The 20,637-nt window shown below is 34.3% G+C and overlaps 1 protein-coding gene across 18 annotated transcripts in view; it reads right to left on the reverse strand.

Annotated features, from left to right (window-relative positions):
- Nucleotides 1-20,637, reverse strand: part of ROBO1 (roundabout guidance receptor 1) — a 1,170,760-nt gene that overhangs the window by 88,952 nt on the left and 1,061,171 nt on the right. For 10 of the 18 annotated variants that reach the window (XM_017006982.2, XM_011533980.1, XM_011533978.1 and 7 more), the window contains 2 exons: nucleotides 7,158-7,166; nucleotides 2,458-2,582 (listed from right to left, as the gene is read on the reverse strand). In XM_017006982.2, the coding sequence (XP_016862471.1) occupies nucleotides 2,458-2,582; nucleotides 7,158-7,166 (134 nt within the window). The remainder of the gene's footprint in view (nucleotides 1-2,457; nucleotides 2,583-7,157; nucleotides 7,167-20,637) is intronic. The other 8 variants (XM_047448664.1, XM_047448661.1, XM_017006984.1 and 5 more) reach the window with 1 other exon arrangement.

Here is a 20,637-nt window from a genome sequence, read left to right on the forward strand (position 1 = left end):
AAAATTTAAGTAACTCTCAAGATTGATACATATTTTTCTATCTGTTTTTAAGCAATATTAGATATATAAGAATATTAAGTATCCGGCCGGGCGCGGTGGCTTACACCTGTCATCCCAGTGCTTTGGGAGGCCGAGGCAGGCGGATCACGAGGTCAGGAGATCGAGACCATCCTGGCTAACACGGTGAAACCCTGTCTCTACTAAAAATACAAAAAATTAGCCGGGCGTGGTGGCAGCGCCTGTAGTCCCAGCTACTCGGGAGGCTGAGGCAGGAGAATGGCGTGAACCCGGGAGGCGGAGCTTGCAGTGAGTCAAGTTCATGCCACTGCACTCCAGCCTGGGTGACAGAGCGAGACTTTGTCTCAAAAAAAAAAAAAAAAATTAACTATCATTATGGTAAAAAATGTTGACATATTTAGCAAAACAAAGACAAAAGTCTTGCTTCACCTGTATGTGACTACTAGGATTATTAATATTAAGACCTTTAATATATTAAAGAATTAAAATGTAAACAAATTTTGACACATTAAATTCAAGGATACCATTTTGGCACCACAATAAGCATCTCTGTTAGCTATCCATCATAAAAGTTCCATAACCTATGCCAAACTTTTAACACATATCTTGTTTCTCTTGTTAATTGGTGAGAATATCTGTTATGTATTTTCTAAAATTCATATGTTGAATTTAATTAAAAGATCACGCTTCTTAGAGTTAGTGTATATGTCACACAAAAAAATAGATCATGTTATTGAATTTCATGAAATAAAAAATAGTAACATTTTCCCTACCACAACAAAATTGATTCTTTTACAAAGCTTTGGTGCCTTTTAATATACATTCTTTTATAAACATTTAACTACTATTCCATGGATATATGTCTAATGACAACATTTTAGGGAAAAATGAGTTGTGTTATTGAATGAAACCAAAATTATTTGGAAATTTGATCTAATGTTTAAATAACTTAAATGAATCATCAAAATATCACTCTTTTAAGAAGAGGTTCCAGTGGATTTACTATTACTGCTACAAATATTTCCTTCTAAAATGCACTTAAAATTCTTCCTGTTCTATTGAAATATTTCATTCTTTCTTGTCTTTAATTTGCTGTCAGCAAATTTAGTTCTTTGAGGCCAAATGGAATGTGTTAGAACCTACCAAGACACTAGAATTCAAATAAGGGCCTATATACCATAATCAAATCAATATTTGGCTACTAAAGTGAAAGAAAAGGTGAACTTGTTAGCATTCCCTACCAAATATTAAATGCAGTCAGTAAATGACCTGTTTTTTATAAGAGCACATTAGAAGCAAGACCATGAAACAAACACCCACGACTGATTTAAGCAAAATTAAAAAAGGTCAGGAGTAAGTGTTAAAAATGGATGAGAATTGTTTATTTACACATATCAGAAACAAGGGAAACGTTCTGTTTTATACTTATTTTCTGAGACAGGTTCTCACTCTTTCACCCAGGCTGGAGTGCAGTGACGCAATCAGAGGTCTCTGCAGTCTCTACCTCGTGGGCTCAAGTGATCCTCCTGCCCCAGCCTCCAGAGTAGCTGGGACTAGAAACATTCACCACCATGCCCCACTAATTGTTTATTTTTAATGTTTTCTAGAGATGAGGTCTTACTATGTTGCCCAGGCTAGTCTCAAACTCTTGAGGTCAAGTGATCCTCCTGCCTGAGCCTCCCAAAGTACTGAGATTACAAGCATGAGTCACTGTGCCCAGCCGCGTTTTTGTTTTATTGAAGAAGGCAAACCATTAAGAGATGAGACAAAAATATATTTTAAACGCTTCTAAGATTTCCTATTTATTAAACTGAAGTCCAATAATGAACTTAGAGTTCAAAAGAGTATAAATCTCTGTATTTCAGTTTCCATATATATAAAAACTTGAAGTTCATAAAATAGAATTGGATTTTACAGCAAATGTTGACTGCATATGATAGTTTTCAACACATTTGAATATAACAAACTATATTTAACACAACATCTCTGTTAAAGAGAATTTCATATAGCTTAATGATTCAGAAGGCAATTTAGACTCCTGAAGCTTTCAAAGAAATCACTGAATAATTATCATCTGTTTTAAATGTACATAAATCTCTTTAATATATAATTCCAGATACCTGAATAATACAAATAATAATTAAATAATGTTGAGAAAATAGTGTTTTTCTTTTTAATGTGGCTGAGCTAGAAATAAAGGTTAATTTTATATACTACCTTGTGTACCACAACTAGGTGGAGAAAAATGCTTTCAGAATTCAAGCGGTGAAGACAATTTTGTCTTCTTTCTCATTGCTAAAATGTTCTGGGCACTCAGAGATTTGCCAGTTCTCTTAATGTGACAGCTGCATGACTAAGTAATATGTTGGTTTTTCTTCTCATACATCTTGGCAACCATCTTTGCTGATTTAAAAAAAAAAAGTTAGAAAAAGGTGGTACCTGACTCCCTTCTCTCCTCCAGAAAATAGCTGGTTGAGGATTTCCGGTTGCTTCACACTGAAAAGTTACAGTCCGTCCCAAAGCAACAACCTGGTCACGGGGTTTCACAACAAAATGTGGAGGTTCTGAAGGAGGTGAAACAAATTACACCGAATTAAAAGCACGTTGTTATTGTCCTAATTGAGACAATCTCTTATATTCTAAGTGCTGCTGTTATTTTATACAACATGTTATGTAAAACAGTCATGATATACCAATTCTTGTCCTTAATTTGAAACTAAAATGTTAAGTTCATAGTTAGAAAATGAAATAGAGTTGTTATATGAAGTTTTTTATTACCTGACCTTCTAAGATTTAACCCACATAATGAAAGGAATTCTAAAGCTACAATTGGACCCTACACATTGTAAATATACCTGAATTTTTTATGAACAAATATTATCTTTTCTCCTTTAGATCTGCTTAAAGGTGAATGAGCTTTAATCATACACACAAGGATCTCCTGATGCAGGCAGGTCTTAAAATTACTTTAACTCAAAATCTCCTGAAATGCTACCATGCAAATTATAACCATTTAAAATCTTCAGTCCAATTATTTGAATAGAAATGAATTTAAAGCAATAGTGGAATCAAATGCCTCTTTCATTTACATAGGCAAGGACATGTTCAAACAGAATATATATGGAAATGAGGGAAAATTTGAAACATCTGCTCATCCTGACATTATAAATACTGCCAGCTTTGTCCAAACTGTTTGATTTAAACCGATTTAAATGGCTACTTCATCCAGCAGTAAATAGTGTCAGAAAATTGTGTCAATTACATTGAATACAATGGTAGCTGAAAACATTAGGTGTGCTGATGGAGTCACTTCTGGGAAAAAAAAAAAAGGTATTTGTTTTTGGGCTGAGCTTTGTGCTCGGAAAAATGTGCACAGAATGTAAGTCTTTTTACCTACTGTTTACACTTTTCCAATTCATTTCGTATCAGCTCTGAAACACCTAATTATTCTCCTCTCTTGTCTCGGTTTAAATTGAAGCGAATGAATGCTTCAAGCGACATTTAATAGTTTCTACAGGACAGGGTTTGTCTACTCCACTTTTTAAGACTTTTCCATTATTTCTAACCTTCTCTTTAAAAGTACGTTGAGTTACTTAAATCAATCACTTAGGGAAACTCCTTAATGTGAATATGAATCAAATTAGATTCAGATTATGTTCACAAATGTCATCAGTCTGCTCACAAGAGTATAATTTCTTTGTTAATGAAGGTCAGTATTTGAAAAGATACTTTTCTTTGACTTAATATTTCTTGGTCAGTTGTATCTAATATACATATATATGTAAAATATATTTTAATATATATAAAATATATAAAGTTATAGATTTTATAAATTTATAAATTTTAATAAAATAGCTGAAATGTCCCTAAATCTGGGTATTTGAATTTATAGGCCATAAAGAAATATTAAAAGCTACTTAATATGCATATTAAAAACATGTATATATTTCAAATATAAAGCCCCTTTAAAAAAAAAGTACATGTAAAACGACTTGATGATTGCATGGGGGCAAAATTGAAGAAAGTAATTAGAACTCCTACCTTCTAGATTAGTGTTCCTTTTTCTATACTCTTTTTTTTTAAAAATTGAGGTTTAGTAGAAATTATAACATTTGACTAGAAAATTATAGGAGACCTGAAAAATCAGGTCAAAGGCTTTCAAATGTCCTCTAACTTATAGGGAAGAAAATAGGAAGTTAGGAAATATAGTTTAAGTTCAATTTGGTAACACTGAAGTTCTAGCTTATAATTTTTTTAAAACTGTGATTGTAATTGAATGGCTTACTCATGAATGTAGCAAACACTATCATTACCCAGGTATAATAATAGGCGAGGGCATCACTGCTTGGGGATTTTCCTCCAGTACAAATCCATACAGGAGCATTCTATTCCTTAATTAAAGGCTGGAATAATTGATGTCAAAATCAGACCAAGAAATTGAAAGAATTGACTGGATAATACACTAAATTCAGACTGGAGTTTGGTTTGCTTCAGTGAAAGAAATCCAAGTGATTAATTAGATGAGTGGGAGAATATGACTTTCCAATATGCAGGGAATTTGAGTAGGAAAATATAAATGTTCAAACCACTTACTTAAGTAAAAAACTTCGGGTGGTCTCTTTCCTAAATCTCAGAAGCATGTTTAAGAATGTGTGCCAGAATCTATGTTTCTTTTATAAAATGCCAGTTCTCCTCAAACCTCAAAGACTTATTTGAGAACAAGGAATACAAACCCTTATGCTAACTACATTCATCCTGAAGCAATCCTTCCACACAGGATATTTGCCTGGAAACAAATTTACTGTATTTTGTAGGCATATTCTGAAGCCAACATCAACAGTGACATCAGCCACAAGACATGTCTTAGAAACATAACTTTTAAAAACCCTCTTCTATATGTGTGTTAAATATCAGTTGCAGTAGATATATCTCTAAGAAAAAATACGTAATGGCCTAAATATGCTTCTATCTATCAATCTGTCATCGTTATCTATCAATTTAGATTGAGAACACCATTCATTAAATGTGTCCACTTGATGTTTATGATATTTATGATGAAATTTTGGATTTTTTTTGAAAGCTACAATTTTTAATTTAAACTTGCTGTAATCAAAAATACATAATCAGGTTACCAAGATCATTTATGTTCAGGGGTAAAAATTTGGAAAATTAGACAAAGGGAAGAAAAGAAAAGCTACCCACAATTCTGCCATAGAAATTGGGTCATACTATTTAAAAAAATTCATTTTAAGGACTGTTTAATAAACAAGCAAATTACCTTTAATTACTGAACCAATCTCAATTGTTTTAAATTTAGATTATTTCAACTTTTCACTGTTAAACATAATGGTAATGTCAACATCCTTCTGACAAGCATAATCAAAATTATTTGCTAGCTGTAGAGTTACAGGGTCTGAAAATATGCAAAGATCGAGAGTGTATTAATAAGTATAGCTAAACCATGCTCAGGAATGTTTTTGATCAACTGATACTTTCATTAACAGCATACAAATGGCTTTTTCTCCCAAACCTCACAAACATTGAAAATTAACATCTTTGCCAAACTAACAACAGATTCTCCTCTTAATTAACAATTTTCAATCTGAAATGTTAACATTTTTCTTCACACTATCTTTTCATTGAAATCTAATTTGTTGTGGATATTGTGCTCATGAACTCAGATTTTCTTTCTGATTTCTAAGAACTGTTGATAGGCTACAATTTTAGCCATTTCTCCTATATGTTGCAAATATATTTTTCCATTTTATTGCTAGTCTTTCTAGTCTATTTAGGCATTTTTGTTGTTGTATCAATAAAATTATATAATATAGATTATATAATACATAATAAAGTATATAAGTATTCAACTCAGTTATCATCCTGTGCTTTTATATCTTCATTATTTTACATTTATATTTCATTCTCTACATGTATTTTTGTAAGGTATCATATAGGAACCTATTTTTTTCAAATAGCCAGATATTACATTATTATTGAACAATCCAACCTATCTGTATTAATATGAAAAGTCACTTTTATAATATTATTGTAACTTTTTGTTTTTTTCTCTTTCTGAGGCAGGGTCTTGTCTCACTCTGTTGCCCAGGCTGGAGTGCAGTGGCACAATCATGGCTCACTGCAACCTCTGCCTCCCGGGTTCAAGTGATTCTCCTGCCTCAGCCTCCCGAGTAGCTGGGATTACAGGTGTGCGCCATCACATCTGGCTGACTTTTGTATTTTTTGGTAGAGATGGGGGTTTGCCATGTTGCCCAGGCTGCTCTTGAACTCTTGGCCTCAAATTATTCACCCACCTCGGCCTCCCAATGTGCTGGGATTACAGGTGTGAGCCGCCATGCCAGACCTATTGTAACTTTTTAACTTAAAAATAGTGAGAGAGATTCTTTTAGGGACAAAGTTATTCTCTGGCATGCCCGTTTGCATATTCATGTACAATTATCTAAAAATTGCTTTCTAGTGACCTTATGAAATGATTGGACCTTCCTCCAAGGTAAGCACTTAGAAACTTGATGGCTTATTTATTTATATGGGGACAAATGTTTATCAAAGTACGCTTTGATAAACTTTGGACATATCCTGGGATTATTTCCTACACAAAATAAAATGAATCTGACACACAGAAATGAAAATGAGTGCAAACAGTCCTAAGGGCAAGGCTATTATTCACCAACAGGACTTTTAATGACTGTTATAGAACAATAGTTATAAAAACTCAGAGAGATATACATGAATTCACAAATATATTTTGAACCAAAAGAACCAAAATCATTCTCTGCATGTATTTTTGTTTAATCTTACGATATATATATATTCGAACAGTACTTAACCAAGATGTAATCCTATCACTTATTTCAGGAGAGAAGAAATAAAAGGATGCAGATCACACATCATTTAATTTCATAAGATATAAAGTTAGCAACCCCGTTACCTTTACTCTTTTCACAGTTACCCATACTTCCTGCAGACTTTATTCTGTGCAGTCTGTCTTTGTGGCCAATGACAAGTGAAACATGGAGGCTGATTGGTTGAAGGACATGGAAGGGTATGGATGGAAAGGGGAAGAGAAGTTCCAGTCACAGTGACACGGTGATGAGAAGATGGCCAATAAAATGTCAACTTACCAGACCCAACTAAAACAAAACAAAAAAAGAAAACATGGAATAAATAAAAATAAGGAAACATAAAATGAAACAGAAAAGTAATAAGATTTGACTTAACAATGATTCTTCTTTTAAGATAAAGAACATGTTAATACTTGAATATATGGCTCACACTGTACATGGATGAATATTTGTTAGCATTTTAGGTATAATCATGATTAATTTAAGAAAAATAGAAATGAAGCTTAAATTCTCTACTATGATTAAATGGCAGAGCTACAATGAATGAGAGCTATAAAATTATAAAACATTTTAAAATAACTTTACATTTTGCTACCAGACAACAGGTTAGAGAACTAATACGTAATGGATTTTAAAACATTATAAATCTTAGCTGCTAAAACTACACAGAAATCAAAAATTGATTATTTTAGAAAAAAGAACATTAAATCCCACAACTCCATCATCAGTTCAATTTTTGAAAGGTGTATACTGCCAATAATATTCTATGAAACTGAAATCCATGCTTCTCATACGCAAATAGGCATGAGTCACCCTGGGAGCTGGTTAAAATACAGATTATGATTCTACAGGTTAGCGGTGTGACTGGAGATTTTGCATTTTTAACAAGCATCCAAGTTTTGCTGGCCTATGACCATAAATGGAATAGAAAGCCTATAAAAAGGTGTTGCATTTAAATTCTTGCATATTTTTAATTGAGATGGTGCATAGAAAAAAGTGAATAAATTACAAGAACTAAGAAAACTTTATAATCTTATCTATAAATCATAATTACATTTTCTGTTTTCAATGTTGAAACATTAGGCATCTTAATAGAGAAAGCTCAAATAATATATATTTAAAATACTAGAAATGGTTATTTCATTTCTCTCTATTTTATAAGCAAATATAATTACTGCCAAATGCAGAACTTTTTCATAATAGCCCCAGCAGAAACCTACAATATATTTTACTCAAATAAATAACTTCCATAGCTTTCAGCAAATCAAAATTAATTAGACCTGATACACATTCCTATAGTTTAAATAAATGCTAAAGAATGTTGTTGTTAAGTGGTACAGTTATAAAGCAAAGATAAAATTTCTCTTGCATACTTTTGTCCCATACGCAAAATTTAAAGGCAATTTAGAAACATTTTTAATTCATACGTTCCCTTCAACAGGAGTGAAATAATGTCTTTATTTTTCATTACAGAGAAAACAAAACTAAGCATAATTTTTCACTCACTCAAGTTAGAAAAGTTAAAAAGAAACTTTCTCATTTACATAGGCTTAATGTTTATTATAGCATCACCAGTTATGCTACCCAGACTCAAAAACACGGAATGGATAGAACGTGGTTACATTTCTTGACACCTTACAGATGATGCCTTTTAAATGACAGTAAGAAGTATTTAGGCACTACAAAAGAGAGGACCTGACAAGCTGTAACAACAGAATTTTGCTTTGAGATAACAATAAGTTATAGGATTACCGTTTGGATTAATCTGTGAAAATAAATTTGATCCCATTAGACTGAAGCAGTTAAAATAAACCCTTACTTAAAGTCAGAAAAGTAGAGAAATGATTCCTAAATATTTTCACGTATTTTCAGTAATTTAAAATTCCTAAAACATTTCAAAAATATATATTAAAAACAAAAAAAACTGGAAAGCACCTAATTTAAAATTTTTAATGCACCCTTTTCTTGCTTATAGTTTTTACTAGCCGTCAACCCATAGGAGTAGAATTCTTTTATTAATTAAAATCCAATGGGTTTAAGAACTTTAGGCTGGGGTGGGGGGAGGGGGGAGGACTAGCATTAGGAGATACACCTAATGTAAATGACGAGTTAATGGGTGCAGCACACCATCATGGCACATGTATACATATGTAACAAACCTGCACGTTGTACACAAGTACCCTATAACTTAAAGTATAATAATAAAGAAAAAGAACTTTAGGCTAATGTATTTGCATATCACATCAATGACAGATGACAACTGAAAAATATTTTAGGCTGGGTGACGTGGCTCTCGCCTGTAATCCCAGCACTTTGGGAGGCCAAGGCAGGCGGATCATGAAGTCAGGAGATCGAGACCATCCTGGCTAATACAGTGAAACCCCATCTCTACTAAAATTACAAAAAGTTACCCAGGCGCGGTGGCACGCACCTGCAGTCCCAGCTACTTGGGAGGCTGAGGCAGGGGAATTGTTTGAATCCTGGAGGCGGAGGTTGCAGTGAGCCAAAATTGCACCACTGCACTCCAGCCTGGCCAACAGAGCAAGACTCTTGTCTCAAAAAAAAAAAAAAAAAAGAAAAGAAAACAGAAAAATATTTTATAGCCTATTAAGGATCTTAAAAGTTATCTAAGAACATCAGCTAACATGGAAGCTTCTAAAACATGAGAGGTTTTGGAGAGGAGTCTATCTTGAATGGTCATTTAAGCTTTTAACAACTCTGATTATCAAGAAACCAATCCTGTTATCTAAAGGAAAGCCTGTCTGTTCAGAATTTCACCCCCCTTTCATTTGTTCTACTCTCAGTAAACAAATAGAAGTCATTAATATGGACTATGTAAAATCCTTTCACTCACTTGAAAAAAATTACCATCCCTAACTTTCTCTGCTAAAGAATAAATTATAGGAATTTATTTAAGTTTTCCTCATATTTCTCCTTTCTCTACATTTCTCCAAAGGTCAGGTAAAAGGATTTCCTTTCCATACAGAGAATATGGTCCTTTCTATGAAACAGGCAGATTTTAATTATTGTCCTGTTGGGCATGGCAGAAAGAATCAGAAAAAAAAAAAAAAAAAAAGCAGAGTAACTTGGAACCTGTTCATTCATTATCTTCTAACATTCGACATTTATGGGAGGCTGCACTCCTATCCTTCTCATAGCCCTTCTCAACTTCGTTCCTTTCTGCTTTTAAGGTTGGAAGCACCTGTGTCCCAAGTCCCTTTTCTTGCTAAGAGAGGGGAAAAGCCTGTTTGTTTCTGTCTCTAATAAAACTATAAAATGTTGGCACTGGAAGTGACCTTAGAACTTATCAGTCTAAACTTCTTTTGCATGAGAAAACAGAAAACCTAAATTGTTAAAGAACTTTATCAAGGTCACAGGGGGTTCACCATAGACTGGCTTCTAGGCCTCCTGACAATATCTAACTCTCTGTACAAATTTTCCTGCTGGCTAATCAATTAGTGGTGAAGAATATTCAATAGGATACAAAATACATTTGATTTTACATTTAAACTGCCACAAATAGTTGTTTAACCTAAAATCATTACTACCAAAATCATTACTACATGCATATATATATATATATACACATATATATACACATATATATACATGTATACATACATATATATATACACATATATATACACGTATATATACATGTATATATACATATATATATACACATATATATATATAAACTGGTTTTAAGGAATTCATGATGTTAAAAATATTTTAAGAATATTTAGCTATAGTTTAAAAAAGACCTGGAAACTAACAGGTGATAACACAGACTTAATGCTGGTTGAAAAATTTATTTTTGCAATTAAAAAGTATGGCAATCATTTTTAAGGGTAAACCAATTTTAATTATTTCATCACTTGAAATCTTTATATGTTGAACGAAATATCCATCTTTTTTGAAACATCAAAACAGTATATTTTGACAAGAACCCCCCTGTCTCTCTCTGTCACACACAGACACACACACACACACACACACACACACAGCCACTACCATTTAGAATAGAAGACTTTCTTCCTTTTTGAATGTGATATCATAGGTTCTAAATTACTTATTTGTTTTGAAATCTTCTATGTACTAAGAATATACATTGCTCAGACAGTAATCTTCAGGTATAAATAAGATAAGAAGAGAGCAAGGAAGTAAAAGAAAGGAAGGAAGGAAATAAAGGAAAGAGGGAGGGAGGGAGGGACGGAGGAAGATTCCTCTTTTATCTTCCAGCTGCTTGTCACATTCAGGAGACATGTGTATGAGTCAGAAAGATGATAAATGTTTGGAAAAACATTATACAGAGGTTGGAGGAAAAGACCTTTTTCATCTAAAGAAAATAAGTTAGTTGAACAGATACTTAAGAAGTCTTCAGGTTAGGTCTAATAAGTACCGGGACCAGCCAATTTTTATAACTACCAATGCCACAAGAAAAGATGATAATCGGCCTAAATAATAGCGTGAACAACTTAAAGAAAGTCTAGAAAAGAAGCAGTTAACAGAAAAGGTCACTGAACCATGAATTGCTTGCCAACTATGATGTCTCTAGAGGTCTTTTAAAATAGGATTTATTTCCATTAGGCCACAACAGTTTAGATATAACCGTGTCTGGCAAAGGGACAGAGAAATTGAATCTTAAAGTGCTTTCAGTGCTACGATTTTAATTGTATGGACATTCAGAAGCATTTAATTTTTAAAAAATATAATGACAGAAGATTGCTACAGTATTTGGGTCTAAAATAACTTAAGTATTACAAACTCCTAGGTTGACTCTATAGAATGTTATTGTAAAGCGAATGCATCTACAATAGGACCAATCCTATTAGTAAATATCAGAGAACAGCTGCTTTTTTTAATGGGCTAAATATGAAATCATCTCGACTATGGAATTCTTCTGCTAATTCATAGATATAAGTTTTCACTGCTAGTAGCTAAATTCTAATGAATCCTTAAATTGAGGCGATTTTTTCCCCATTCTCATCTACAGTACTTTTGAACGCAGAGCTCAGTTAACACATCTGATACACTAGAATTGTAAATACCACATTCCAGAGAATACAAATGAAATAAGGTAGTGAGTTAAATAAAAACTTTTGGAAGAAACACATTTTTATTCAAATACAAGAGCCCAAATTCTCAAGTAGTAAAACTATCTATATTTGAACTGACAAAATCCAGTCACTGGTATGTTGGAAAAATTATATACATAGATACTCATGAATGACAATATCGCTAACAATTAAAAACTCTCAGGATATTTTAATACTAGGTATGATTTCTTTTGGGGGAAAAGATTGAGTTTAACTTAAAAGCCTGTCATTATGTCTTTCAACTTTTAAGACATAACAATAAAGAGATAAAGGAGGCCATTTTTAGAATATATTTAATGGATACATAAAATACTATGAACTTTTCACCTCCTCTTAAATATCTCACATTATTCTGTAGAACAATGGTTCTGGAGACAATTTTTGCTGTCACAACTGATGTGGGGAAGAAGGGGAAGGCAGAGAGCTACTAGCATTTAGTGGACAGAGGCCAATGATACTGACAAACATCCTACAAAGCCCAAGACAACGTCCCAAAGCAAAGAATGATGTAGCACAAAATGTCAACAGTGCCAAGATTCAGAAGCCCAGCTGTAGATGAGCTATTCAACTTAAAGCTTATCAGAATACTAACATATATTTATTTCAACCCATATATACAAAGTACCTTGCACAATGCCTGACCTATCACAGGTACTCAGAAAAGGTTAGTACTCTTGCTCTTATTCTTCCTTTCTAAAAATATTGTCACTTTCCCAAAAAAGCAGTTAACAAACGTTGGTAGTTACTTGTCTACTAAGGAATCCACAATTCAAATGCAACTACCCAGCAATCTACGACAATGTGCATGTCACCCAACACATATCTTAGGACTATAATTTTGATGGTAATATTCCCTACGTCCACTTAGAAAGCCAGAAACCTACATCTTTCCTGTCTTTCCTCCTGGAAATACACAATCAACCAGCAAATTCCATAGTGTTTATACTGTAACCATTTATCCATTCCATCTACCTCCTTCTCTCTTTATTGCCACCATTCTGGCCCAAGCTATCCAACAGCATTCACCTACTATTTTGGTCTTTTCCAGTCCAATCTTATGATGTAGTCAGAGTGATTAAAACAAAATAAAAGGCTAGGCGCAGTGGCTCATGTGCTTAACACTGTAATCCTAACACTTTGGGAGGCTGAGGCAGGTGGATCACTTTGAGGTTAGGAGTTCAAAACCAGCCTGGTCAACATGGGGAAACCCCGTCTCTACTAAAAATACAAAAAAAAAAAAAAAAAAAAAAAATTAGCCAGGCATGGTGGTGGGTGCCTGTAATCCCAGCTACTTGGGAGGCTGAGGTAGGAGAATTGCTTGAACCCGGGAGGTGGAGGTTGCAGTGAGTCAAGATCACGCCACTGTGCTCCAGCCTGGGTGACAGGGCAAGACTCCATCTCCAAGTAATAATAATAATAATAATATTAATAATAATAATAATACAATTACACTTTGTTTTTACGTTTTGTTTTTTGCTTAAAATCCTTCAACATGGTCCTATTGCTTTTAAAATAGAAAACTAAATTCTTAACGTGGCCTTGCTGTGTAACAATTCAGTGTCTTCTCGTATCACCTCTTCTCCCTCTCCTTGACCTAGCCCTACTGGCCTTCTTTCAGTCCTTGAGTACACCACACACCATGTTGCCTCTAGTTCTGTTTATACTGTACCCTGGAATCTTCCCCTTTCACCCATATAATTACTATTCAGTCTTTAGAGCTCAGTTAAAAAATTACTTTTTCAAGAAATTATCTCTAAAGTGAACTAAATCATATCAGAATGCTACCTATTTTCATAGCAATCTTAACTTTCCTCTCAGAGCACATATTATAGTTAAAATTATACATTTGTATGTTTTATGTTGCTCCAAAATTAGCCTTGTGTTCCATGTGAGCAAGCATTTACTCATTTTGTTTGCCATTATTTCTCTAGAACTTCTCAAGGTGAGGCTGCTACTCACATTTTAAATATCGGTTGAAAGGTGGAAGAAATGACAATAATGTTCCAATAGCCCAGTTGAAAGCACTTAGTCCTATTTTAAGAGTCCATTTTTCATATTCTGCTGATACTATAGATATTTGTGTGTATCTCTCTTCTTCGCTAGGTTATAATAAGCTCTGTGAAGATGGGATCCACATCTTATTTATCTGTACATCCTTCATAGTACCCAGCGTACTGTTTTGTACATAGAAAGTGCTCAAGAATTGGTTTATCTGAAAAACTGGAATGTCTATCTTTAAATGGCATATTTCATGGAGGGTCCAGAGTTAAGGTACATGATGACAGAATGATAACGTTATTCAACTGGTAGTTAAACAACTTTGGATCAAGATCCTCTCCAAAAGGAATCAGACCTGTGATCCTGCATAAATTACATAAACATTCTCCATCTCAGTTTAATAGTAAGAAGGCATCAGGCTTAGCTAACTGTGTGTCAGATCATATATTAGGAACCCCTTCAGCAGCTCTGTAAGGAATTATTCAATATCTCGATTTTGCAAAAGAAAGAAAATGAAGATTAAGTAAATTTCATAAGGTCACCTATCAGGTAAGACAGGGAGTATTGGAATTCTGCTGGTATCTCCAGATCTTTTTTTCTTTTTTTTTTTTTTTTGAGATGGAGTTTAGCTCTTGTCTCCCAGGCTGGAGTGCAGTGTCGCGATCCCAGCTCACTGCAACCTCCACCTCCCGGGTTCAAGTGATTCTCCTGCCTCAGCCTCCTGAGTAGCTGGGATTACAGGCGCACGCCACCACATCTGTCTAATTTTTGTACTTTTAGTAGAGATGGGGTTTTGCCATGTTGGCCAGGCTTGTCTCGAACTGGTAACCTCGGGTGATCCACCCGCCTCAGCCTCCCAAAGCACTGGGATTACAGGCGTGAGCCACCATGCCCGGCCTCTCCAGTTCGTAAAATGTAAAAATAGCAACTGTTTACTACATTGGATGACTTGTTTGTAATTTTAAAAAGAGTAAAACCTTGCTCTAATGTAATTTTGGTTCTGAAATGTTTTGTCTCCATGACCTAAACAAAATGACTTTTAACAAGAAATGATTTAAATATACAACATATGTATTGATACATTAGATGAACATAGATGCATAATTACTCTGCTTGTATATGAGCAGTTCCATACTTATAAAAAGGTTTGGGGAAAAATAACTTGTTCTGCATTTTATTTTCTTATAGAAACAATGATAAAGCAGCCAATTCCGTGCCTGAAAAGCGATGTGAGGCAACATTTTAGAACACTCACTGTAAACGTCAAAGGCAGTGTGAAAGGAAATGCTTTATAAGCCCCCATCCATGTCTAAAGTTGAAAATTTCAACAATCTAGCATAGAGTTATATGATTTAATGTTTATTCTCAAGAAACCTAAATCAGGTCAAAATTATTTATTATCAATTATATTTAGTGATTAAGTATATTCTGGGGGAGTTAAAAGCCTAAGGAAAACCACAAAAGCACTTCTCATCTCTTCACTAATGACCTAAAAGGCACTGTGTGAAATGACTATTTCACCATCCACAAAATAACTTTTTAAAAGGGCCTTTGTAAAACGGCCTATCTATCAGGTTTAGTTGTGCAATGCTCTAAATCCTCTCCTAATAACATCGACCACACAAAATAAATGTCCTAAAGCTAACTTTAACAACCATTTATGGATTTTCCTACTCTCATAAATCTGTTATAAAGCAATTACTCAGCTATATTTTGTCTTATACTTATTTTAGTATTTTCTGCAGGTGTGTTTATACTGGCACATTATTTATCAAGTCATCAGAGAAACAGTTTAAAAGCAAATTAAAGTGCTCATGGTATTTTAATCAGTTGTGCAAACCTTAGGTATACTACACAGTGTGAACTTCTAATTTATACAAAATATTTTTAAAAACTAAAAAAGAATTGCTTTGTATTTTTAAATTACTAAGATAAGGCTCAAAGGACACCAGATGCTATGTAATTATCAAGTGTAACTACTCTAATGATGACCCTGATGTTTGGTATTTGCTAAAACGATTCGCCAGTCTAAAAACAAGAATTCTATTCAGCCTAATGATTCATGCTGTGTATATCTATCAAAATATTTAAAACCATAGCAAGCAAATAATAAAAAATATCCATACAAATGGATGCATAAACAGTCACATTTTTAGTTATCTTGTGTATTTAGTTTACTCAAGATTCATCATAAGGTAAAGGTGTTCTTCATGTGAACAGTCTGCAACTATTCTCTTTTAAATAATAAAATATCTTGATCACTTTATGTGCAAACAATTCTGGATAAAATACAAAATATTATGTGAATCAACTTAGAATTAACTTTTTCACATTGAATGATACTAACTCTGATAAAATAATTCCAAGTCTTAAAAGTATGTGAGGCTGTTAAAATGAACATTTTAAAATGTGCTATCTCTCAATGATAAGAGCAGAAAAGTAATTTATTTCTCCAAATTTCATTCTCAGGCTGAGCAGCTGAGATTGGATATATCCATACAACTCAATGACATTTTTCCACATTGATGCCATTATTTCAGAATGTTGGTTTGGTTTCTAAATACAGTTGCTCAGTTATACATCTATATAATTGGGCAGTGAGAAAACCTTACCCACTGTTATGTAGACGAATAAATCACAGTAAAACTCAGACCATCATGGAAGGCCTATGATGCGCTATTTACTAGTGTGGTGCTATGTCATTATTTGTCACTGAATCATCTTATGTATCAATTATTTCTTGTACCTGACTGCTCGACTTATTTCTTCAAATATTTGCCTGGCGTGCACAATTAAGAGAGCATTTCAAATTCTCTGTAGGAAGGCCATGAAGTGAATGCCTTTCTTTTGATTAATTTTTATGATTTATATCTGTTTTTTTGAAATAACTGAAAGCAACCCCAAATCTTTTTTCGTCGATGAAAGAAATCTAAGAGAATCCCACACATTCATCAGTCGTTAGGGTTACAATGGCTGTTTCTTTAAGCTATAAGTACACAAGAAGTTCTTTACTTTATTCCTCTAGGGAAAAACAAAACAAAACAAAACAAAACAGCCAAGAATCATAGGCCAAAAAGCTACTGGGTCTCAATCAAATGAAACAGCATTAAAAAACCCAGCAGGAGTGGTGCTCAGCATCTTATTTACGCCACTGGATCAGAACAGTTAGGAGAGGGAGTTATTCTCACAAATCACTCTCTTGTTAAATTCTGTAGTGGGACTTCATTAAATCTCTTGGGTGATGGCATTTTACTTGCAGCCTGCTCACAAAGAGCTCAACTGGCAGTACTGATTCTTCAAAAGTTTCCATCACATCTTGTCTTTTTTGGTTTTCTTTTTACCATAACAAATCTCTTTCCCCATCAGCCCCCCTAGTCCTCAGTTGAAAATTTTTTAATCCTTATTTTAACTACAAAATAAACAAGAGGAAGAGGAGGAGGAGGATGAGGAGGAGAAGGAGAAGAAAGACACACAAACCTCCACAACAAATCCCTTAAGGGTAGCATTTTGAATAAGACTCTTGAGATTAGTATTAAGAGTATCCATACATACAAGCAGTGGTAAATATATATTACATTGAATATGTGTGTATATACATATATCTACCCAATATATATAAATTTAATATATATATTTACCACCATTTTACACACACACACATATATATATATAAAATCCTCCAACCCCTGAAGCACTGCTTACTGTAGCACTAGTGACTTTAGTGGGCATCTGTGGATTATTGCCATATGTCATTAAGAATCATTCCCTAAAGATCCAGTTTGCTATGTCTTGTCAGAGTCTGGCAAAAGCAGCACACACATATCAAGGTTCTTAAAATTGTCAAATAAAGCCTTGGGGGGGTCTCATAATATGTGTTTCATCAAAATGTTGATGAACTCACAGTTCTCAACCAAGATCTTGGATTATACTAAACCTAAGCTGACTCTGCAAAAAGGTCCCTTGACACTATTAGTTTTGGCTTTGACTCAAATAACCACGTTAATGGTCAGAAACAATGCACTATTATATTGCCAGATTTTCTCAAATCAGCAACTTAAGGAAGCTGTTCCAACAAATGATTTAAATGAAGTCTACATCAAAGAAAGGAAATTCAGAACTGAAGGACCCAGTTTTTTCTCTCATTACTTATTTTATGCCTAGCTATCATACGAGCTCCAAAAAATCCTATGGATCTCACACAAAGATCTCATACGCTGACAGAAAGTTAAACATAGTGAACTCTATTTATGGAAACCACAGATTTACAAAGTAGGCCTTCTTTCCTCCAGAGGTGTTTTTGAATGCAAGTTTTTAAAAGTTTATCCCCTACTGGCAATAAAGTCTACAGTAAGCTATATTGTTTCACTTTTACCTAAATTTTAATTTTACAATATGAAATAATTATCTAATGGTTCATTAAACACACACATACACACACACACACACACAGACACACACACACGAGTCTGGACAACATAGTGAGACCTCATCTCTCCAAAAAAAAAAAAAAAAAAAAAGGAAAGAAAAGAAATTAGGCAGGCATGGTGGCATGCTTCTGTAGAGCTACTTGGGAGGCTGAAGGGAGAGGATTGCTTCAGCCCAGGTGGTCAATGCTGCAGTGAGCCATGATTGTGCCACTGCACGCTAACCTGGGTGACATAATGAGACCCTGTCTCAAAAAAACAGTCATACATTCACACAGTATGTTACATTAAGATTGGCATGTATCTTGATTATTTTCAAAGTTGCTAATTCACATGTTAGAAAATTATCAAATGCACATTTCTTTTTGTGGATTACGCCTGCTGATCCATTTTTTCCAGATTAAATTATATTGAAGTTATTTCTGAGTACAGTATATCTAAATTTGTTTATATTCAGTTAATTCAATTGTTCCACTATATGGACTACATGGAACAGGCAGTGATGGGATTCAATGTTATTCATTCTATCAGGAAATTTAGCAGCATTGAACATAGCAGGGAGGGATAGTAATTATGTTAAAGTAAAACAATAACCAAACTTCACATTAATCAGCTATAAAAAATGTCAAATCTCTATGGACAAAATAACAATTAACAGGGACCTGATGAATTTTTAATTTAGTTTTGGAAGAAGCTGAGAAAAACAATCATAGAAACAGTAACAACAACTGTATTTGCATAAGCACCCCATAATCCACACCCACTTTCTTGGGAATTCAACTATTTTATTCATTAGTTTATTTTCCTATTAGCTGACGGATATTTGTATTACATGTACACTCATTTTTCAACAGATGAGAACTCTGAATCTCAGAGAAGTTAGGCAATTTGCCTAGGATTCAACAACTGGTGTGTATCAGGATGAGCACTTAATTCACTCACACAGAAAATGTTACAAGAACATCAAGGTTTCTGTGATGGTGAATTTTATGTGTCCATTTGAGTGGGTTAGGGGATGTCCAGACAATGGGCAACATGTATTTCTGGGAGTGTCTGTGACGGTGTTTCTGGAAGAGATTAGCATTTGATACTGTTAACTGAGTAAAGAAGACATGCCTTCACCAATGTGGGCTGGCGTCATCCAATCCGTTGAGGGTCCAGGTAGAAAAAAGGCAAATGTGCTGTCTCTTCTGGAGCTGGGACACACATCTTTTCCTGCTCCCCCAATGTTAGAATTTTGCTCTTAGACTGAATTAAACCACCTGTTTTGCTGGTTCTTCACCTTGTAGATGGCAGATGGTGGGAATTCTTGACCCCCCCATACCAATACTTATAATAAATCTCTTCTTATTATCTCTATATGCTATTGAGTGTGTTTCTCTGGAGGACCCTAACTAAAACGATGTCTCTGAGACTGCAGTAAACAATGAGACTAACAAAGCAAAGTCAGCAAAGTGTGTGCCTAAGGAACTCACAGTCAAGCAGTTCAGACATTGAAATCCCATTAAGGGCAGTAGTAGCATCCAGTGGGTAGGTGAATGGGAAATACCTAACTCTCACTCGGATGGGGAGTGTCTGAAAAGCTTGCTGGAGGATGCTTATGTGAATCAAGTTCAAGAATAGGAGTAACTAGCAAGTAGAAGATGGGGCAGGTGGAGCTGGGGCATTTTAGACCAAGGAGCCAACATAACAAAAAGCCCAGAGATAAGCTACATGGTGGTGTATACACAAAAGAAATATAGGAATATAGCATATTATACTAAAGTGAGTAGCAAGAAAGGAGGCTAGTATCATCAAAAGTATTTTGGATCTTACCCTGGAGAGATGGGAACCATGGAAATCATTTATGGAAGGAATTAATATAATTATAACTGTGTTTTAGGTAGATAATCTTCTTAAAACTCTTTTTTAAAATTATTTAAAACAATTTTTTTTTAACACTGGGTCTCACTGTGTTGCTTAGGCTGGTCTCGAACTCCTGGGCTCAAGTGATCCTCCTATCTTGGCCTCCCAAAGTGCTGGGATTATAGGCGTGAACCATGACGCCCAGCTTTTGTAGGTACATTAATCTGTTGTGTGAAGAATAGATTCTATGAGACAAGGTGGAGGCAAGGAACCTGGTTAGAAGTTAAGAGTTTCCCGGAGAAATGATAAAGGCCTAAAATGGGGCAATGATAAGAAGGCAAGGGAGGTGGTGAGAGAGTTGAGAAATAGGTAAAAGGCAAAATAAGTAGGATT

The sequence above is a fragment of the Homo sapiens genome, chromosome 3 (assembly GCF_000001405.40).
Source record: "Homo sapiens chromosome 3, GRCh38.p14 Primary Assembly".
Lineage (NCBI taxonomy): Eukaryota > Metazoa > Chordata > Mammalia > Primates > Hominidae > Homo > Homo sapiens.